At 45.6% G+C, this 23325-nt stretch overlaps 2 annotated features.

Moving 5' to 3' along the window:
• Positions 3821-4115: an enhancer, noted in NCBI's record as "tiled region #10020; HepG2 Activating DNase matched - State 4:PromP". NCBI's record gives its function as "activates a minimal TATA promoter and a strong SV40 promoter by Sharpr-MPRA in HepG2 cells {active_cell/tissue: HepG2}" and the evidence as "EXISTENCE:reporter gene assay evidence [ECO:0000049][PMID:27701403]".
• Positions 3837-3896: a silencer, noted in NCBI's record as "silent region_6875". NCBI's record gives its function as "represses an Ori minimal core promoter by ATAC-STARR-seq in GM12878 lymphoblastoid cells {active_cell/tissue: GM12878}" and the evidence as "EXISTENCE:reporter gene assay evidence [ECO:0000049][PMID:35858748]".

The raw sequence follows: 23325 nt of genomic DNA on the forward strand, positions 1-23325 counted from the left end.
ACTGAGACCATCCTGGCTAACATGGTGAAACCCCGTCTCTACTAAAAATACAAAAAAATTAGCCGGGCATGGTGGCGGGCGTCTGTAGTCCCAGCTACTCGGGAGGCTGAGGCAGGAGAATGGTGTGAACCCGGGAGGCAGAGCTTGCAGTGAGCCGAGATCACGCCACTGCACTCCAGCCTGGGTGACACAGTGAGACTCCATCTCAAAAAACAAACAAAAAACACCAAACCCAAAACTTTCTATTTGCGAGGGGGCTTCAATTTTCACAAAAAGTGTAGATTCTTGCCCTCTTCCTAGTCAAATAGGGACAGATGGTTAGGAATGTGTTAGGGGAATGTTTTATTTCTTTGCTTCTGTGCTCACCCACTGAAGGTATTGAGTTCTGGGATTTCTGACTTTATGCAGGGGTCTCTGGTCAGAACTCTTCCTCCAGCCCAGCTCCCCTCTTACTTTGGTCATTTGTACCCAGCATAGTTCAGTGTAACTGTGGTTCTAGGCGACTGGAAACCAGCAGAAGCCTTCAGGACAAAATTCAGCTCACTCATACAGGATTTTGATTCCAATGGAATTTCTGCCCTCTCATTGTTTTCCTTATTTTATTGCTATCTCAGTAGAACTTTAAATAAATAAATAAAGCTAAAATTATTTTATTTGCCATTTTTATATGTAATGATCTCGGAGGGATTCTTGAACAGATGTGGTCTACAGTCTACAGCTAACATGTAGCTGCCTGCTTTCACTGTGTTCACTCTTCAGATTAATAAAATGAAAAGCAATGCTGATAATAGTGGTTTCTTTTCTTTCTGCTTTCTCCAGTAATTAGCTTATGGGGGACACTCAGAGGACAGGATTTAGGATCAGCAGACCTGGGTCTGCCTCCCATCTCCACTGCTAAGAGTTGAATCAGTCCATGCAGGCCACTCCCCATCCTCAGCCTTTTCTTCTGTCAAATGAACAATATAATCCCCTAGTTTTAGGGAATTTTGAGGAATACATCAGATTACCAAATCGTGAGTTCCTTGAGCTGATAAAGAGTGAGCACTTACTGTGTGTAAGGCAACTTTCCTAAGTGCTAGGGATACAAAAGTGAACAAAACACACAAAAAATGTGTCTGTGTGTGTGTGGGGGTTGGTGTGGATGTCCACAGGCATACATGTGTGGTAGCAGACAATAATATAAGAAAAATAAAGTAAAATATATAGTGTTTTAGGTGGTAGTAATTCCTATGTCAAACAACAGCGCCGACGAAGTAGAGGGGATAGGAATGCGTGTGTATGCCTGTGTGGGCACGTTCGCTACCTCTGCATCCCAGGCACCTAGACACGATCTGGCTCAGAGGGGAAGCTCAAAGAATGTTTGATGGATGAATTAACACTCATAGGACACTTACTACCATGCCTGGCGAATAACAGTAGCTTTTGGTTTTAGAATGGATGCAGTTGCTATTGGGCTCCCCTCTTTATGTCCAGTTGATGCAAGTAGGTTAGGGGGTCTCTAGAGGCTCACAAAGCTGTGCTTGGCTCAGAAGTTATCCAGATAAAAACTAGTATAGGAATCCAACTCCCCTCCTCCCTCCATCTTTCACCCCTGCAAATCTGGTGAGCTCCATGAAGCTTTCCTCCCCAGGTGACGTTGTTGCTGCTGTACTTAAGGGACAGCACAGGCCACCTGGGTGTGGGACAGAGCTGACACCTTCCTGTCTGGGCTCTTCCAGCCTTCACTCTAGAACGAAGCGGGAAGCCTCAGGTCCAAGGGGAGAGCCGCCGCAAAGGCCGCGTTGAACGCCGAGGTGCACGCGCAGGTACTGGCTAAGTGCGCGCCAGGGTGCTCGGGAGGGGGCGGGTGCGGGCCGCACTGCCGGGCGGGGTGCGCGAGTGAGGAGGGCGGGGTGCGCGAGAGAGGAGGGCGGGGTGCGCGAGTGAGGAGGGCGGGGTGCGCGAGTGAGGAGGGCGGGGTGCGCGAGTGAGGAGGGCGGGGGAGTGCGCGAGTGAGGAGGGCGGGGTGCGCGAGTGAGGAGGGCGGGGTGCGCGAGTGAGGAGGGCGGGGTGCGCGAGTGAGGAGGGCGGGGTGCGCGAGTGAGGAGGGCGGGGGAGTGCGCGAGTGAGGAGGGCGGGGGAGTGCGCGAGTGAGGAGGGCGGGGTGCGCGAGTGAGGAGGGAGGGGTGCGCGAGTGAGGAGGGCGGGGGAGTGCGCGAGTGAGGAGGGCGGGGGAGTGCGCGAGTGAGGAGGGCGGGGGAGTGCGCGAGTGAGGAGGGCGGGGGAGTGCGCGAGTGAGGAGGGCGGGGGAGTGCGCGAGTGAGGAGGGCGGGGGAGTGCGCGAGTGAGGAGGGAGGGGTGCGCGAGTGAGGAGGGCGGGGGAGTGCGCGAGAGAGGAGGGCGGGGTGCGCGAGTGAGGAGGGCGGGGGAGTGCGCGAGTGAGGAGGGCGGGGTGCGCGAGTGAGGAGGGCGGGGGAGTGCGCGAGTGAGGAGGGCGGGGGAGTGCGCGAGTGAGGAGGGCGGGGGAGTGCGCGAGTGAGGAGGGCGGGGGAGTGCGCGAGTGAGGAGGGAGGGGTGCGCGAGTGAGGAGGGCGGGGGAGTGCGCGAGTGAGGAGGGCGGGGGAGTGCGCGAGTGAGGAGGGCGGGGTGCGCGAGAGAGGAGGGCGGGGTGCGCGAGTGAGGAGGGCGGGGGAGTGCGCGAGTGAGGAGGGCGGGGTGCGCGAGTGAGGAGGGCGGGGGAGTGCGCGAGTGAGGAGGGCGGGGGAGTGCGCGAGTGAGGAGGGCGGGGTGCGCGAGTGAGGAGGGCGGGGGAGTGCGCGAGTGAGGAGGGCGGGGGAGTGCGCGAGTGAGGAGGGCGGGGTGCGCGAGTGAGGAGGGCGGGGGAGTGCGCGAGTGAGGAGGGCGGGGGAGTGCGCGAGTGAGGAGGGCGGGGTGCGCGAGAGAGGAGGGCGGGGTGCGCGAGTGAGGAGGGCGGGGGAGTGCGCGAGTGAGGAGGGCGGGGTGCGCGAGAGAGGAGGGCGGGGTGCGCGAGTGAGGAGGGCGGGGGAGTGCGCGAGTGAGGAGGGCGGGGTGCGCGAGTGAGGAGGGCGGGGGAGTGCGCGAGTGAGGAGGGCGGGGTGCGCGAGTGAGGAGGGCGGGGTGCGCGAGTGAGGAGGGCGGGGGAGTGCGCGAGTGAGGAGGGCGGGGGAGTGCGCGAGTGAGGAGGGCGGGGGAGTGCGCGAGTGAGGAGGGCGGGGGAGTGCGCGAGTGAGGAGGGAGGGGTGCGCGAGTGAGGAGGGCGGGGGAGTGCGCGAGTGAGGAGGGCGGGGTGCGCGAGTGAGGAGGGCGGGGTGCGCGAGAGAGGAGGGCGGGGTGCGCGAGTGAGGAGGGCGGGGGAGTGCGCGAGTGAGGAGGGCGGGGTGCGCGAGAGAGGAGGGCGGGGTGCGCGAGTGAGGAGGGCGGGGGAGTGCGCGAGTGAGGAGGGCGGGGTGCGCGAGTGAGGAGGGCGGGGGAGTGCGCGAGTGAGGAGGGCGGGGGAGTGCGCGAGTGAGGAGGGCGGGGGAGTGCGCGAGTGAGGAGGGCGGGGGAGTGCGCGAGTGAGGAGGGAGGGGTGCGCGAGTGAGGAGGGCGGGGGAGTGCGCGAGTGAGGAGGGCGGGGGAGTGCGCGAGTGAGGAGGGCGGGGGAGTGCGCGAGTGAGGAGGGCGGGGGAGTGCGCGAGTGAGGAGGGCGGGGTGCGCGAGTGAGGAGGGCGGGGTGCGCGAGTGAGGAGGGCGGGGTGCGCGAGTGAGGAGGGCGGGGTGCGCGAGTGAGGAGGGCGGGGGAGTGCGCGAGTGAGGAGGGCGGGGGAGTGCGCGAGTGAGGAGGGCGGGGGAGTGCGCGAGTGAGGAGGGCGGGGTGCGCGAGTGAGGAGGGCGGGGTGCGCGAGTGAGGAGGGCGGGGTGCGCGAGTGAGGAGGGCGGGGTGCGCGAGCGAGGGCGTCCGGCCGGCAGGTGGCACTGTGGCGTCGCCGTGGGCCGAGCCTGGCGAAGCGCTGCTCGCCCGAGATCGCGCAGCTTGGTGAGTGGCAGCGCCTGGCTTTATACTCGCGTCTCGGACACCGATGGTCATCTTCCCACGTCCGTGACTCAGTGGCCTTCCAATGCAGGCTGCGGCCTCTCAGCCCAGAAGGCCCTGGGTTCTGGTACAGGCCTTCCTTGTGGCAGACGGAAGGAAGGCTGACAAAGGGAGTTCACCGGGTTTGCCTGACTTGCCACGCTCTTCTCTCTCCGTGCCAACTTTAACCTGGGAAGCCACACATACCTCTAGGGCCTCTGATATCTTCAGTGTCCCCAAGGCCCATGCTGCTCAGAGCCTCACGTGGCCGCAAACCCAGGTGCCAGTACTTGAGAGTTGCACCTTGAGCGGGAACTGCAGAGGGTTTTAATGGCACCAGCTCCAAACATTTCGCCCACAGCGTCTGCAGTCCTCCACTGCGGAAGGCAGAATAAACGCCCCAAGGGTGTCCACATCCTACTCCCCAGAGCCTGTGAATTTGTCCCCTTACATGGCAAAAGGGAATTACAGTTGCGGATGGAATTAAGGTAGATTAATTGCACACACAGACAGAAACACGCATTTTTGTGTGTTTTGTTCACTGTCGTATCCCTAGCACTTAGGAAAGTTGCCTTACACACAGTAAGTGCTCAGTTAATCTTTATTGACTCAAGGAACTCACAGTTTAGTAATCCGATTTATTCCTCAAAATTCCCTAAAACTAGGGGATTATATTCTCCATCTGACAGAAGAAAAGGCTGAGGATGGGGAGCTTAATGGGTAAGGAGATTAGCCTGGGTCACCCAGGTGGGCCCAATGCAATCACCTGTCCTTATAAGGAAGAGAGGCGAGAGAAAGAAAGAGAGAGAACAGAGAACAGAGAAGGCCGACAGCACCAGGAGGTCTCAGCCCGGTTTTTCTGGCTTTGGGGATGGAGGACGGGCCACGGAACAGGGCGGCCTCTGCCTAGCAGCTGGAAAAGGTAAGGGACTAGGTTCTCCCAACGAACCTCCGGAAAGAAACGCAGCCCTGCCAGCAGCTTCATTTCAGCTCAGTGAGACCTCTTTTTACTCTTTCGACCTCCAGGACTGTAAGATCATAAACGTGTGTTGTTGGAAGCCAGCAAGTTTGTGGTAATTTGTCACAGCAGTCGTGGGCCCACTAAGACACCTGTCGTGGGCCTCGTGTCCAGAGGCCTCAGCTGAAATGCACTGGGGGCCTGGTGGTGTGTGTTAGGTCCACTTGGCTTGCTGTGTTGTTCAAGTCCTCTCATTTCCTTTCTTATCTTCTGTCTGGTTGTTCTTTCCATTATTGAAAGTGGGGGACTGAGGTCTCCGACGATTATTGTAGAACTACTTTTCCCTCCAATTCGCTCCCTTTCTGCTTTGCATATTCTGTTAAGTGCTAAATGTTTATAACTACTTATTCTTGCTGTATTGAATCTCTTCTCAATATATAATGTTCTTTGTCTCTTGTAACCTTGGACAAGATACAGACTACTTAGACTATTGAAAATCCTGACAGTGTATTTGAAACATGCACGTGGACATGGTTTTATTTTTCTCAGTTACTGCTTTCAACTGTGTGCTGATTGAAACTCCTTTCCCCTGGATAGAAGACCTATTAAAATAACCCAACTTTATTCACTAACTTGTCAACTACTTTTGGTCAGTCAGAATTTTGTCTTTGGCCAGAGTTAATCAGCTAACCCGTTGTCCCCAGATCATCAGTGCAGCTTCACCTGGGTACTTCTTATAAATGCAAATTCTCAGGCCCTGCCCCAGAAACTCTGGAGGTGGCCCTGCAGTCTGTGTTTAAGAAGCCCTCCAGGGGATCCTCAGGTGTGATAAACTTTGAGAATCAGCGGTAACCCATCTGCAGAGGTATTTCTATTATTTCAGTAATTATATTTTTAAAATTTTACTTTCTGGAAATACTTTTTAAAATTTACCTATTTTTTCATGTATCTTGATTCTTTTTTTCTGTTTTTATTTCTCATTTTAGGTCTTTAGTAATTTTAAGCCAATTTATCTTGTAGGCTCTGTTTTGATCATTCTACTGGCTTTCCATCCCTGAAGTTTATTGACTTGGAGTTGCCAGTGTTTTGTAATTTGGGATTGTGAGCTGGTCTTAATGGGGACTTCATCTATTGGAATCTTCTGTACCTTACATGAGAGTGGGTGCCTCCAGAGTGCTTTTGGGTTTGCTTCAGCCAGGTGCTTGGCGTTATCACCAGCCCAGGACTGCTTTGCATACCAATGTTTTGACCTGGGGATTTTCTGGCCCATGCATGTCATATACAGCCTAATCCCATCACATGAGTATGGGCCTGTGATGACAAATTGATAGGAGAATCATTTTCCCTACTCAGAGCCCAGGCCAGGTCTAATATCCCTGACATAACTGCCAGTGGGGGAACTTTCTCTAGATGATGATTACTGAGAGTGCATCCTGCCCTTGAAGGACCCCTCATTTATGAGTGTTGTGGGGCAGGTCCAAGGCTTCCTCTCCAATTCCTCACAGCATTAAAACCCAAGTCCCTAGGCCAGGGATGGTGGCACACGCCTGTAATCCTGGCACTTTGGGAGGCCAAGTTGGGTGGATCACATGAGGCCAGGAGTTCAAGACCAGCCTGGTCAACATGGCAAAACCCCATTTCTACTAAAAATAAATATAAAAACTAGCCAGGCATAGTGATGCACATCTGTAATCCCAGCTACTCGGGAGGCTGAAGCATGAGAATCACTTGAACCCGGGAGGTGGAGGTTGCAGTGAGCTGAGATTGTGCCACTGCACTCCAACCTGGGTGGCAGAGTGAGACTCTGTCTCGAAAAGCAAAACAAAACAATCCAAGCCCCTGAGTTAGTGAGAGGATGCCAGCCCTGGTGGGTGGGGAGATCATGAAGTTGTATACCTAATTGTTGGTTCCCAGTTCATCTTTTGGCCTTTACTTTCTGTTGAACTCTGCATTTAGAGTCTGTTCTATTGCACCAAGCAATTCTGAGCATATTGCGGTGGGTGTTGCCTTTCAGGTTACCTAGTTTCTCATATTGCTGTAAATAGAAGTCCCCTGATAGCTCATTTTGAAACGTCAATCTCTCTTCCCTTCTCCACCTAGTGCAGGCTAAACCTAGTGTTTCCATAGATGGAGAGTGGGGTAGGGGCAGTTGCACATGACTCTCCTGCTTCTTGGCACTTGCTGTTCTAATGTTGGGGTCAGGAAGAGGGGCTGGCAAGGCATGACTGTGGTGAGCTCTCCTCTTGCTTTTCGGGTGGTAACTGCTGGTCCAGCTTATTGTCCACAGCTCTGCATAGGTAGGAGGTGACCAGAAACCCTAGGCATGATGAGGTTCAGCTGCCCCTGTGGACCCCCAGATGGTGGCCTCATGGTGCGTTCTGGTGCACAGGCCTTCTGCTCCATGACGTGACCCCGTAGCCCCGGTCTCCTCTGCCGTTCAGGGCCTTCAGCCTGGGCCCTAGACACGCATGCCACATCCATCTTCTCCCCTCTTGGAACCCGAGGACTCAAAGCTCTACTGGCATCCCCTCTCCTCTGTCCTCATTTCCTGTTTCCCTGGCTACAGGAACACCTGACGATGCCCATTTGCAGCAAACCAACCATGGCTCAGAATTCCTCCAAGCTCAGTCATGCTCTGAGGGCATGTGAAAAGAATGCCCTGCAGAGGAGGAGAGATTTGTTTGTGGCCTTGATGTCATTTGAGATTCTGAGTGTCCAACTGGGGAAATCAACGTTTCCAGGTGGAAACAAAGGGGGCTGCAGAAAGCTGCCCACCCAAGCCAAGGGTCCCTGTTTTGCTGAGTCTAGCGAGGGACTTCCTGTCCCCACTGCTCCACTCCCTCCTCCAGCCCAACTCTCCCTGAGGCAGATGGCAGCAGAGAGAGGAGCAGGGGTTTCCAGGTCAGGCGAGAGTCCTCAGTGGGAGCCTGCTGGGAGGTGGTTTTCTGCCTGAAAGCAGAAGTGGTGGTGTGACAGTCCGTGGACACCAGAGTAGGGACAGAAAAATTGTCTCAGACCCCATCTACAATAAAAATGTATACAAAGGCCTCCCATCCTAGGGGCAGGTATGTGCCTAGAAAGTACCCCTTCTGGCTCTGCCAACAGCTGTACCAGCTTCATTTGCTGGAGGTGAAGAGGCGGCCACATGACCCTGGACTGGCCGGCGTGGTGGGGTCGGCACGCAGGTCTTGACTGCAGCAAGTTCTATGTGTTTGTGCACAATTAGCCAGATAGCCTCTCCTCTGGGGAACCAGTTCATTCCAAGCCAAGAGTAGATGAGTGGGCCCTGTGCCAGGGAGACAAATGACTGGTGACACCGTGGTGTTTCACTGAAGCTCTGCTGGGGGACCCATCACAGCCTCTGCCTGAGCTGCTGGCTTTCAAGTGCCCTGGGGCTGAGCCCTGGGAATATCCTTGTTTATCTGCAGTTGCTGGCCTGGCTCCTCTTCCCCTTTCTCTATTCCTCCCTCTCTTCTCTGGGGAGCAAGCGGCCCACCCCCACCCCTGTACCACTGGGTCCTGAATGTCCAAAAAGCCAAGGAGGTTCTGGCCTCAACTCAGCCTCTCCTTGAGGCAAATCACCTCACTTGGGAGTGGGGGTTCTTCAACTTTACACATCCCGGTTACCCAGGGGGCGTGGTGAGCATCGGATGAAAAACTGGGAGGGGGAACTTGAATGCTGCTTCTGAACGCGTATCCGGGGTGAGAGCTCATCTCCCTCCTGGATCCTGTCTTCCTGCACCAAATTGCCAAGGCCAATGCTCTGCCCCTTGGGTAGGCCAGTCCACCCCCCTTCCTGTCCACCCACCCCAGATGCCAAGTCTGTGGTGGGGTGGCCCATGCTGGGGCATGAGAAGTTTGGGGGATGAGGAGGAGAACCATATCCACCAGGGAGGACCCGGGGTGAGGAAAAGATGAGACAGGATGACACTCAGGAGAGGCCGCCTTTCAGGAGATGGACCTCAGAACGATGGCTTTTCCTTGATAACTCTAGACCTTGAGCTACACTGGCCTCTCTCTGAGCCTGCGCCAGCCACAGGGATGTGAAGGTTGAGATATTCCATACGTGGTTGGCTGACAGGTAGCTGAGTACAGCCATTGTAGAGGGGGATCTCGCTCTGCTTAGTGACATTGATACCTGTATCATTCAAGTGCTAGACATTTTGTTCCTGGGCATATGTCCCAAAGACTTGCACACAAAGCGACCGAGAAGTGATTTACCACAGTATTGTTTGGGGACAGTGGAGTTAGAGGCTGGCATCCATCACTGGGGAATGGGTGAGTAAAATGAGATTGTCACATGGATGACCCACAGCCACAAACAGGGTGGACACCCATCACTGTGGCTACAGCCTTAAAAATAGCGTGAGTGAGAAAAGTAAGAAGCAGGACAAAATCTCTAACACTGCATCATTTGTAGGAACCTGAAAATACATACCTATCAATCAACTTGTCAGGTTTCTCAAGTGTGCGGAGAAAAAGAAAGATAAACATTAAATGCAACAGTAGGGATGAATGTGCAAAGGTGGGAGTGGAGAATTGGGATAAAGAGGAATAAAGTAAAGCACAGTAGGAGCAGGACCTCACATGGAGAAATTGTGCTAGCACACCATGAACTGAGCAACTGGTTGACTCTGCCCCTGAAGGAAAAGGAGCAGTTAAAGCCCTAAAGAAGTGAATGTCAGCTGCAGAGAAGGGATACGCACTATTCATCACTAAAGCATGGGCAAAACTGTGATCACAGGGCCAGCCCCTCCCTCTGCTCCCATCCACACCAACAGCACCAACTGTTGGCTAGGTCTAGAGCAGAACTCTTCCCCTTTGCCTTCTAAGAACAGACTCTGAGACGTGGTGACTGCTCCAGGGCAACCTCCCTCTTCCCAAATGACACCAGAGGATCTCTTTGAGTGGTGAAGGCTCAGCATCTTCATTAGCTCTCCGATTTAGAGATGGCCAAGCTAAAATCTACAGCACCTAGCTCAGTGCCTGGCAGAAAGTTGATCCTCAAATGATGGATGGATGAATGACCATACCTGCTTGGCAGCTGCTTAGCTTTGGTTGGGCCAGAGAAGAATCAGTCAAATGATCCCTATGGTGTGCTGAACACTGCAAAGTTGCCAGAATAAGACCCTGTGCTTGCTCTTGAGGTGTTTGCCTAGTGTTTCTCAACTAGGTTACATATGTCGTGGTCCCAAAACTTGTCTTGGCCATCTAGTATGTGCTGGGCTTTTGCTACCAGTTGGGGTAAAGAAATGAGTACAATGGGTCCTAGATACAGACATAAAACAGATAACCTGCAATATGAGGAGTGACTGAGATACGCCAAGAGTGTGGGGAGTGCAGGGAATGTAACTGGCAGGCAGTGGACCTAATGAGTGAGTCCTGAAGGTGTCAATAGCCCAAAAAACAAAATTATGAGTTAGGAAGATTTGTTCTTTTCAACTGCATATGAAAATATTTGCCAAAGAGGATCTCTACAAGTTTGAGCAGTAGCTGGTTTCTTTTTTCTTTTTCTTTCTCTCTCCCCTCGACCTTCCTTCATGGGTGATTTGGGACAGAGACAATGCCATGGGCTCACCAAATCATATTTCACTTTCCTCTCCCTGGGCACATTGGAAGACTTTTCCAGCATGACTTGTAATTAAATTGGAGCTATATGACCATAGTTTGGCCATTGTGGTGCAGGAGGAAGTAAGGTGTACAACTTTCAAGCCAGCTATAACCTCCCTTGAACCATCATCCATTCTCTCTTGCCTTTCCACAGTGACCTCAGTGGGTATATATTTACATGGCAATGTCACAAGATGAAGCTTGGATCCCAAAGTCACCACTCAGAGAAATTGCCCAGGAGAGCTAGTCAGCCAGCACTGGGTGTGATATGAGTCACTGAGATGTGGGTTTATTTGTTCCTGCAGCAAAGCCTGTTATATCCTTACTAATATGCTAGGTACACTGCTTTCCAAAGTAGCTATTTTGAGGAACCACAGCTCTTCTTAAAAAATTATGCCAATTTTATTTATTTATTTATTTGAGACAGGGTCTTGCTATGTTCCCAAGGCTGGGTTGCAGTAGCTATTCATGGATGTGATCATGGATCACTGCAGCCTGGAATTCCTGGGCTCAAGCAATCCTTTTGCCTCAGCCTCTTAAGTAGCTAGGACTGTAGGCATGTGCCACTAAATTTATTTTATTTCTTAACAGCTTTATTGAAATATAATTTACATACCATACTATTGACCCATTCAGAGTGTACAATTCAGTGGTTTTTGGCATATTCAAATTTATACCACCATTACCAGTCAATTTTATAACATTTTAGTCACCCCTAAAAGGAAACTCCATCCTTATTAGCACCCAATTCTATACCCTACTACTAGGCAACAACTAATCTTCTTTCTGTCTCTATAGATTTGCCTGTTCTGTATATTTCATATAAATGGAAGCATAAAACATATGGTCTTTGTGACTGGTTTCTTTCACTCTTATCATGTGAATGAACCTTAAAATGTTTTTCTTTCTTTCTCTCATTATTATTTTGAGACAAGGTCTCAGTCTGTCACACAGGCTGGAGTGCAATGGCGCAATCTCGGCTCACTACAACCTCTGCCTCCTGGGTTCAAGCAATTGCCTCATTCTCCCGAGTAGCTGGGATTACAGGTGCACACCACCCCACCTGGCTAATTTTTTGTTTTGTTTTGTTTTGTTTTTTGTAGAGATGGAGTTTCACCATGTTGGTCAGGCTGGTCTTGAACTCCTGATCTCATGTGATCCACCGGCCTCGGCCTCCCAAAGTGCTAGGATTACAGGCACGAGCCACCATGCCCGGCCTTGTTCTGTCATTATTATAAGCATCCTAGTGTGTGTGAAGTGGTATGTTATTGTAGTTTTGATTTGTTTTTCCCTGGTGACTAATGATTAGCATTTCCTCTACTTGTCATTTTAAAATCTTCATTGAAGAAATTCTATTTAAATCCTTTACCCATTTTTTAAATGTGGTTGTCTTTTTATTGTTGTGAGCGTTCTTTAGATGTTTTTGATGTTAGAACCTTATCAGAAATATGTCTTGCAAATACTATCAAGAAAGTTAAAATGGGAGAAAAGTATCTTTTGAAGTGAAAAGTTTTCAAGTTTTATGAAGTCCAATAGATTAATTTTTTCTTTGGTTGCTTGTGCTTCTGGTATAATAGCCAATAAACCATTATTTAATCCAAGGTCATGAAAAGGTACCTGTATTTTCAAGGAGTTTTATTACTTTGGTTCTTACATTTAAGTCTTTTTTCCATTTTGAGTTAATTTTTTGTATACGGTATAAGGTAAGGCTCTAATTCATTCTTTTGCGTGTGGATGTCCAGCTGTTCCAGCACAACATGTTGAAAACAGTATTCTTTCTCCTACTTAATGATCTTGCCACTCTTGTCAAAAATTAATTGACCATAGATGTGCAGGTTTATTTCTGGACTCTTAATTTTATGCCATTCATCTATATATGTATCCTTATGCCTGAACCACACTGTGTTGATTACTGTAACATAACCCCACTGACACTGGGAAGTACAAGTCCTCCCACCTTGTTTCTCTTTTTCAAGATTGTTTTGGCTATTTTGGGCCACTTACATATCCATATGAATTTTAGGATTTTTCTTTCCGTTGTTGCCCAGGCTGGAGTGTAGTGGTGCAATCATTGCTTACTGTAGAGTCAATCTCCTGGGCTCCCACCCCAGCCTCCTGAGGAGCTGTGATTACAGGTGCATGCCACTGCACTGGCTAATTTTATTATCTCTATTTTTATATACATGGGTTGAGGGGGGGGATCTCTCTTTGTTGCCCAGGCTGGTCTTGAACTGACTTCAAGTGATCTTCCCACCTCAGCCTCCCAAACTGCTGGGATTACAGGCATGAGCCACCATGCCTAGCCTGAATTTTAGAATTAGCTTTTATATTTCTGCGCAAAAAAAAAAGGCGGTTGGAATTTTGTTAGGAATTAGATTGAATCTGCAAATCAATTAGGGATACTCAGTGTCCTTTGACCTACATCTTCCCATTCCCCTGCCCCATAACTCTGGTCTTGGTAACCACTGTTTTATTCTCTATATATTTGACCTTTTAAAAAAGATTCCACATGTAAGTGAGACTATGCAATATGTTTTGTGTCTGACTTAATTCACTTAGTGTAATGTCCTCCAGGTCCATCCATGCAGGGACAAATGGCAGGAGTTCCTCTTTTTTAAGGCTGAATAAAATATTCCATTGTATATATACCACAGCTTCCTTATTCATTTGTCCATTGATGGACACCTAGATTGTTTCCATATCTTGGTTATTGTGACTAATTCTGCATTAAACATGGGAGTGCAGTATTTTTATGAGGTGGTCATTTCATTTCTGTTGGGTATGTACCCAGAAGAGGGATTGCTGGGCCATATGGTAGGTCTATTTTTTAATTTTCTGAAACTTCCATACGGTTTTTCATAATGGCTATACCAATCTACATTCCCACCAACAGAGTTGATACAAGGGGTACAAAGGGTTCTCTTTTCTCCACACTCTCACTAGCACCCGTTATCTCTTGTATTTTTTAATAATAGCCATCCTAACAGGTGCGAGATGGCATCTCATAGTGGTTTCATTTACACTTCTCTGATTGGTGTTGTTGAACTCCTTTTCATGTACTGTTGGCCATTTGTATGTCTCTTTGGAGAAATGTCTGTTCAAGTCCTTTGCCCATTTTTAAATTGGGTTATATGTTTTCTTGCTATTGAGTTGCATGAGTTCTTTATACATCTTGGATATTAACCCCTTATCTGATACATGGATTTTTCTAATCTGTAGGTTGCCTTTTCATTTTGTTGATTATTTTCTTTGCTGGGCAGAAGCTTTTTAGTTTGATGTAGTCCCATTTATTTATTTTTGTTTTTGTAGCCTGAGCTTTTGATGTGATATCTAAGAAATCATTGCCGAGGCCAATGTCAAAGAGCTTTACCCTTCTAGGAGTTTTAGAGTTCCAGGTCTTAGGTTTAGGTCTTTTCTTTTATCCTACACAAAAATCAACTCAAAATGGATAAGAATCCAGTGTAGGGTAACAGTCCAGTTTTATTCTTCTGCATGTGGAAATCAGTTTTCCCAGGACCATTTATTGAAGAGACCATCCTTTCCTCATTGTCTTTCTTGGTGCCCTTGTTGAAAATTAGTTCACTAATTATGACTGGATTTATTCCTGTACTCTATTCCACCGGTCAGTATGTCTGGTTTTATGCCAGTACCATAGTGTTTGATTACTATAGCTTTGTAATACAATTTTGAATTGGGAAGTGTGATGCCTCCACCTTTTTTTTCCTCAAAATTAATTTGGCTGTTTGGAGTCTTTTGTGGTTCCATGTGAGTTTTGGGATTCTTTTTGCTATTTCTATGAAGAATATCATTGGGGTTTTGGTATGGATTGCATTGAATCTATATATTGCTCTAGGCAGTACGGACGTTTTAAAAACATCAATTCTTCCAATTCATAAGCATGGAATATATTCACTTATTTGTGTCCTCTTCAATATCTTTCATCAGTGTTTTATAGTTTCAGTATACAGGTCTTTCACTTCCTTGGTTAAATTTATTCCTAAGTATTTTTTTTATGCTTCTGTAATTAGGATTGTTTTCTTGATTTCTTTTTCAGTTTGACCATTATTTGCATATAGAAATGCTACAGATTTTTGTATATTGATTTTGTATTTTGTAACTTTACATAATTCATTTATTAGATCTAACAGGTTTTTTTTTTTTGGTGGACTCTTTGGCATTTTCTACATATAGGATTATGCCATCTTCAAATAGAGATAAGTTTACTTCTTCCTTTTTGATTTGGGTATCTTTTTATTATTTTTTTCTTGTCTAATTGCTCTTGATAGAACTTCCAGTACTATGCTGAAAAGAAGTGGTGAGAGTGGGCTTCCTTGCCCTGTACCAGATTTGAGAGGAAAAAGCTTTGTTTCTCCCCATTGTTTATGATGTTAGCTGTGTCTTTTTGATGACTAGCTTTTATTATCTTGAAGAACTTTCCTTCTATACTTAAACTGTTAAGAGTTTTTTTTATTATGAAATAACGTTGAACTTTGTTGAGTGATTTTTGTGCATCAGTTGATATGATCATGTGGTTTTTGTCTTTCAGTCTGTTAATGTGATGTATAACACTGATTGGTTTGCATAAGTTAAAACAGCCTTGCATGACACTTGATCATGATGTGCAATATTTTTGATGTGTTATTGAACTCAATTTGCTCCTCAAATTTTATTGTGGATTTTCACATCAATGTTTATCAGAGATATTGGCTTGTAGTTTTCTTTTCTTGTGGTGTCTTAGTCTGGCTTAGGTATCAAGGTGATGTTGGTCTTATACAATGTGTTAGGGAGTATTTCTCCCAGTTCTATTTTTTGGAAGTGTTAAGGAAGCGTTGATATTAATTCTTTGAAAGTTTGGTAGAATTCATCTGTAAAGCCATTTGGTCCTGGGCTTTTCTTTGTTGGGAGATTTTAAATTACCACTTCAATCTCTGCTGTAATAGCTCCAATTTCATTTCTTATTTTATGTATTTGAGTCTATTCACCTTTTTACTTAGTCTAGCTAAGGGCTTTTTTTTTTTTTTTCAAAAAACCAACTCCTATTATTATTATTATTATTATTATTATTATTATTATTATTATTATTTTGAGGGGGAGTCTCACTCTGTTGCCCAGGCTGGAGTGCAGTGGTGCGATCTTTTTTTACTGCAACCTCCACCTTCTGGGTTCAAGCAATCCTGCTGACTCAGGCTCCCAAGTAACTGGGACTACAGGCATATGCCACTACACCCAGCTAATTTTTGTACTTGTAGTAGAGACGGGGTTTCACCACGTTGGCCAGACTGATCTCGAACTCCTGACCTCAAGTGATCCACCCTCCTAGGTCTCCCAGAGTGCTGGGATTATGGGCATGAGCCACTGTGCCCAGCCTACTCTTATTATTGAATTTTTCCCTATGGTTTTTCTGTTCTCTATTTGGCTTATTTCTGCTCAGATTATTATTTCCTGCCTTCTGCTAACTTTGGGTTTAATCTGTTCTTTCTCTAGTTCCTTGGGGCATAATATTAGGCTAAATGTTTAGTGTTTAGTTGGAATCTTTCTTCTCTCTCTTTTTTTTTTTTAATGAATTCTCTCACTCTGTCACCCAGGCTGGAGTGTAGTGGCGTGATCTTGGCTCACTGCAACCTCTGCCTCCTGGGTTCAAGTGATTCTCCTGCCTCAGCCTTCTGAGTAGCTGGGATTGCAGATGTGCAGCACCACACCCTGCTAATTTTTGCATTTTTAGTAGGTGCATTTTTCTTGTGGCAGTTCTTGACTTGAAGTCTATTTTATCTGCTGTGATTATAGCTGCACTGCTTTCTTTTGGTTATCATTTGCATGAAATATCTTTTAACCCTTCATTTTCAGTCAGTTTGTCCCTAAGGCTAGTGTGGGTCTCTTGTAGGCAGCATATCCTTAACCTTATTATTAAAAAAAAATCCATTTAGCCACTCTGTCTTTTGATTAAAGAATTTAATCCACTTACTACATTCAAAGTAATTATTGATGGGTAAGGACTTACTACTGCCACTTTTTTGTTTTCTGGTTGTTTTGTAGATCCTTTGTTCCTTTCTCTCTTGTTCATCTTTGATTTGATGAGTTTCTGTAGCACTATTATTATTTCTTTCTCTTTACTTTGTGTATCTGCTATACTTTTTTTTTCTTTGTGGTTACCATAAGGCTTACGTAAAACTATAGACTATTTCATACTGAAAACACCTTAATTTCAGTCACATACAAAAACATTAGACTTTTACCCTCCCTCATTTATATTTCTGATGTTGCAGTTTACATCATTTTATATTATGTATCTCTTAATATAGCTTTTTTTTCTTTGACTATTTTGGTCTTTAACCTTTATACTATCTGTATCTATATATACTTTATAGAACTATATATAACAATATTAGAATATTCTAGAGTTGACTATATATTTACCTTTACCAGTGAATTTTATACTTTCATATGTTTCCATGTTAGTTATTAGTGTCCTTTTATTTCCACTTAAAGAACTCCCTTAGACATCTCTTGTAAGGAAGGTCTAGTGGTAATAAATTCCTTCAACTTTTGTTTGTCTGGGAAAGATTATTTCTCATTTATTTCTGAAGGACAGCTTTGCTGAGTATAGCAGTATAGTTAGCAGTTTCTTTTCAGCACTTCGAATATGTCATTCCATTCTCTCCTGCCCTACAAGGTGTGTGCTGAGAAATGCACTGATGGTCTAATTGGCATTCCCTTATGTGACTTGACATTTTTCTGCTACTGCTTTTAAAATGTTGTCATTGACTTTTGATAGTTTAATTATAATGTGTCTTAGAGTGGACTTCTTTGGGTTGAATCTATTTGGGAAAAGTTGAGCTTTGTGTATCTGAATATCCATGTATCTTCCAAGGCTTATGAAGTTTTCAGCAATTTATTATATAAGCTTTCTTTCTCTATCTTTGTCTCTTCTCCTTCTGGAACTTTCATAATGCAAATATTTGTTCTTTTAATGGCATCCCACAGGTCCTATAAGCTGTCTTCACTCTTTTTCATTCTTTGTTTTCCCTCCTCTGACTAATTTTAAAAGACTCATCTTCAAGTTCAAAGATTCGTTCTTCTCCTTGATCTAGTTTGCTGTTTAAGCTTTCTATTGTATGTTTTATTTTGTTAACTAAATTTTTTAGCTCCAAGGTTTGATTAAATTTTTATGATATCTCTTTTGTTGAATTTCTCATTCAGATAATGAACTGTTTTCCTAATTTCATTGAATTGTCTATCTGTATTCTCTTATATCTGAGTTTTCTTAAGGTCACTATTTTGAATTCCTTTTTAGGCAATTTGTAAACTTCCCTTTCTGGGGAGGGGGGAAGGTCAGTTGCCTGAGAATTATTATGTTCCTTTGGTGGTATCATGTTTCCTGGCTTTTTCTTCTTCCTTTTTTTGGGGGAGGAGGGGAGTGGGGCAGTGTCCCATTGTCACCCAGGCTAGAGTGCAGTGCATGATCATGGCTCACTGCAGCCTTAACCTCTCAGGCTCAAGCAATCCTCCCACCTCAGCTTTCTGAGTGGCTGTGATCTCAGGCATGTGCCACCATGCCTGAGTAATTTTTTTATTTTACATTTTTTTTGTAGAGATAGGGTCTTCCTATGTTACCCAGAGTGGGTAACATAGGAAGTTATGGGGAACATATTCAAACTCCTGGGCTCAAGTAATCCTCCTGCCTCAGCCTCTCAATGTGTTTGTTGGGATTACAGGCATGAGCCACCATGTCTGGCCTTTTCTGGCTTTTTCATGTTTCTTGTGTTCCTGCATTGATGTCTGCACATCTGATGGAATGATTACCTTTTCCAAACTTTACAGAGTGGTTTTTGCAGGGAAAGTCTTAGTATACCAGTTGGGAAGAATATGGTGGTTCTACTCTGCATCTGAGTAGACACAGTAGTATAACCTCCATGCAGCTGCTTCAGCTACGATCAACATCAGCAATGACTGGGTGCCTCAGTAGCCTAGGCTATAGCAATATGTGGCAGCAGCAGTGGCAGTGTAGGTTGTTAGGATCCCAGGTGGCAACAGCTTTTGGGGTCCTCCTGTTTTTCTTTTCCCCACAATGAGAAGACTAGCTGAGAGGACCCCTTTTGATGTTCTGACACAGCCCACGAGCAGCTGCAGCAGCGTGGGGTTCCAGGTCACAGGTGACAAGAGCAAATGTGGAGCTTGGGCCCTGGACTCAGGGTCTTGAGAACGAACTGTGGCACCTGGGTCTTGGGGTACAGGTTCAATCTCTGAAGGAAGGGTTGCATGCAGACTGCCCACAGAGCCAGAGTCTATAATCTGAGGCAACTCCCAGCAGCTTGAACCCAGGCGGCCGGGTTGTAGCTGTGACTCCGACTCTAGGGGTTAGGGAATAGCACTGGCCTAGCTTCATAGAAGAAGGGGAGCTCTGGAGGTGTGAGCCTGGGCATCAGGGGTACAGCTGCAATTCAGGAACCAGAGCCAATAGGGTACAATGGCAACTCAGGCGTAGGGGGGATGAAACACCATGTAGTCATGACTCTGGACCCTGGGATGGTGGGAAATGGGAGGCTCGGTAAGGCAAGGTGAGGCTGCAACAAGGATCTCAGATTAGCAGAGTTCAGCTTTCACTTGGGTCCACAGCGCCAGTTGGGGAGGGGGAGGCAGGGAGAAGTACGACAATGGCACTATTCCTTGTGAGTGAAATGTCTCAGCAGCTCAGACTCTAGGGGTGAGTCCAGTTCCAGAGAAGCAAGGTACTACAGTTATTTGCCCAGTAGGATGGGGTGTCGCAGCTTAGCCACTGCCCTATTTCCCTGGGACACAGGGGACCATGTCAGTTCATCCCTGGGATGTGCCACTGCTTAGCTTGGCCAAGGCATTAATTACACCGGAGGTGATGCACCATTTCAGCTGAGGCCTGGGGAGTGTGGCTGCTCTGGGCAGTCAGGGCACCATTTGCTGGAATGCAGGGTGCCACTTCAGTTCTGGCCTGGAGAGTATGGATGCTCTAGACAGCCAATGTAGCATTTCCCCAGGATGCAGTGTGCCACTTCAGCTCAGGCCTGGAGGGGCAGGGCACAGTAGCAACTGGGAGTGGTAGATGAAGTAGTTCTACAGTAGCATGGCCGCATGGGGTAGGGTGTAGCAGCAGCTCTTCTCAGGGATGGCAGACCACCAGGCAGGGATGGCCCAGTGGTGTCAAGGCCTCAGGGATGGAAAGGTGCTGAGGGTGCTGTGATCACTCACTCCTGGAGCAGGACACACTCCAGCAGTGATTCTGGTTCCAAGATGTCATAGCACAGTAGCCAGGCCACTGGAGTGGGACACAATGTTGACTCCTTCTCTTGGGGGAGCACAGCTGTGTGAACTCCAGGCAACTCCCTAGGCTGGCCTTAGTGCCTGTGAGAACTACAGGTGTCCAAGGTGATAATGGAGGCTGATGAAGTTCTTACCTTTTCTCTGTAGGAAATAGTCCCTCCTAGTTTTTAGTTGATCCCAACTGGGAAATGGGGTGGCAGAGGTGAGCTGTGTTCCTTCCTTTCTCCGTGGGGCAATAGTGGGTTTCTTTGCTCTACAGGGTTTCTGCTACTCCTTTGATGTACTTTGGTGCCCTCCTTTAGTTATTTTCATCAAAAAGTGGTGGTTTGTTTGTTGTTTTGGCTGTCTTTGTGGGTGGATGAGTGCGAGGGTCTTCAGTCAGTCATCTTGCTGATGTTACTCTAAAACTTCGCTTCTGTTCCTAGTGTGTTGTGTTTTTATCATGAAAGAGTGTGGTGTTTTGTCAAGTACTTTTTCTGAATCTGTTGATGATTATGCTTTTCCCCCTCCTTTTTTTGGTTAATATTTAGTTTCTCTCACTTCTATTGGTATCTTATATTATTAAATTAACATTATCTGATTAATATGTGGTATGCAGAATAATGACAACTCAAAGAGGCCCAAGTCCTAATCTTCAGAACCTATAAATATATTATCTTATGTGGTAAAAGTAACCTGTAGATGTTAGGTTAAGGTTCTTGAGGTGGGGAGATTTTCTTGGATTATCTGGGTGGAACTAATGCAATCACAAGAGTACTTATAGAAAAGATATAGGAAAATCAGAATCAGAGAAGATGATGTAATGATAGAAACAGAGTTTTAAAGATGCTATCTAGTTTGTGTCACCAGATTTATGGTAACTTGTTACAGCAGCCATAGGAAACTAAAGCAATTACATTGGTTGATTTTTCATATGTTGAACCAAGGTTGCATTCCCAGGATAAATCCCACTTGGTCATAGTGTTTAATTCTTGTAATATACTGCTATATTCTGTTTGCTACTATTTTGTTGAGGACTTTTGAATCTATACTCATAGGGACATTTTTCTTTTTTTCTTTTTTTTTTTTGAGACAGGGTCTCATTCTGTAATGCAGGCTGGAGTGCAGTGGCATAATCATAGCTCACTGCAGCCTTGAACTCCTGGGCTCAAGGGATCCTCCCACCTCAGCCTCTAGAATAGCTAGGACTACAGACATGTACCACTACACCTGGCTAATTAAAAAAATTTTTTTGTAGCGATGGTGTCTTGCTATGTTGCCCAGGCTTGTCTCAAACTCTTGACCTCAAGCAATCTTCCTGCCTTGGCCTCCCAAAGTGCTGGGATTACAGGCATGAGTCACTGTGCCCAGCCTCATGAGGAATATTGACCCATAGTTTTCTTTTAATGACTTTGTCTGATTTTGGCGTCAAGGTAATATCGGCCTCATATAATGAGTTGAAAAATGTTCCCTTATTTTCTATTTTTGGGTAACTTGGTCAAAGATTAGTTAGCTCATAAATAGTTTGGTAGAACTCACTAGTGAAGCCGTTTGGTCCTAGCCTTTTTCTGTGTGTGTTGAAAGTGTTTTGATTACTGACTCAATCTCTTTACTTGTCATAATCGATTCATATTTTCTATTTTTTCTTGAAGTAGTTTTGGCAATTTTTACCTTTCTAAAAATTTGTCAACTTCATCTAGATTATCTAATTTTTTGGCATTCAGTTCATAATATTCCCTTATATCCTTTTTATTTCTGTAAGTTTGGTAGTAATATCATCTTCATTTCTGGTTTTAATACTTTGAGTCTTCTTTTCTTTTTTGGGCAACATAGCTAATAGTTTGTCATTTGTGTTGATTTTTTTAAAATAATTTTTATGGTCATTGATTTTTTTCTCTCATTTTTCTATTTCCACGCTTATTTTTATTATTCAATTTCTTATGCTTGCTTTCAGTTTAGTCTGTACTTCATGTCCAGTTTCTTAATGTTGAAGGGTAGGTTATTTACTTTTTTTGAAGTGAAAGCTTGTGTAGCTAAAAATATCTCTTTGAGCACCGTTCTAAGTGCATTCAATAAGTTTTGGAATGTGTCTTCATTTTCATTTATCTCAAAGTATGTTCTAATTTTCCTAACACTTTCTCCTTTGATTCATTGGTTATTTAGGAGTATGTTGTTTAATTTCACATATTTGTGCATTTCCCAAATTTCTCTCTATTATAGATTTCTAATTCCATTATAGTTGGAGAACATGCTTTGTATGATTTGAATCCTTTTAATTTACTGAGACTTGTTTTATGGCCTAGCATATGGATAATGTTCCCTATGCACTTGAGAAGAATGTGTATTCTGATATTGTTGGGTGGAGTTCTATAAATATCTGTTAAATATAGTAGATTGATGACATTGTTCAACTGTTGTATTTTATAAGTTTGTAATTGTTAGATTGTCTTGATGGATTGACCCTTTTATCATTATAAAATTATTTCCTTGTCTCTAGTAACAATTTTTGACTGAAAGTCAATTTTGTCTGAAATAATTATAGCCACTCCAACTCTCCTTTGGTTACTGTTTGTGTGGCACATCTTTTGCTATCCTTTTATTAATTCTTTCAACCTATATGCGTCTTTGAATCTAAAGTGAGTCTCTCATAGATAACAGTCGGATCATGTTTTTATTTTAAATCCATTCTGACAATCTATGCCTTTTAATTAGAGAGTTTAATACATTTATATTTAATTTAATTACTGATAGGGTAGAATTTATGTATGCCATTCTGCTGTTTGGTTTTCTATTAAGTCTTATATCTTTTTCTTCTTCAATTCCATCATTACTGCCTTTTCTGTTAAAAAGATATTTTCTATGTACAATCTCAATTCCCTTGTTTTTTCTTTAACAATATATTTTTGAGTTATTTTCTTAGTGGTTGCCCTGGGAGTTTACCATTAACGTCTTGATTTATAGTAATCCAGTATGTAATAATATCAACTTAATTTTAATAGTATACAAAAACTTTGTTACTATATAGCTTTGTTCCCTCCTCCATCTTCATGCTCTTTTTAAAAATAATGTATTATATCAACTAGTCATTATATATATATATATATATATATATATATATATATATATATACATTTTTTTTTTTTTTTTTTTTTTTTTTGTCTTGCTCTGTCGCCCAGGCTGGAGTGCAGTGGCACAATCTCAGCTCACTGTAACCTCTGCCTCCCGGGTTCAAGCAATTCTCATGCCTCAGCCTCCCAAGTAGCTGAGATTACAGGCTCCCACCACCGTGCCTGGCTAATTTTTGTATTTTTAATAGAGCCAGGGTTTCACCATGTTGGCCAGGCTGGTCTCAAACTGACCTCAAGTGACCCGCCTGCCTCAGCTTCCCAAAGTGTTGGTATTACAGGCGTAAGCCACCACACCTGGCCCATTATAG

Source organism: Homo sapiens, chromosome 15 (genome assembly GCF_000001405.40).
Source record: "Homo sapiens chromosome 15, GRCh38.p14 Primary Assembly".
Classification (NCBI taxonomy): Eukaryota; Metazoa; Chordata; class Mammalia; order Primates; family Hominidae; genus Homo; species Homo sapiens.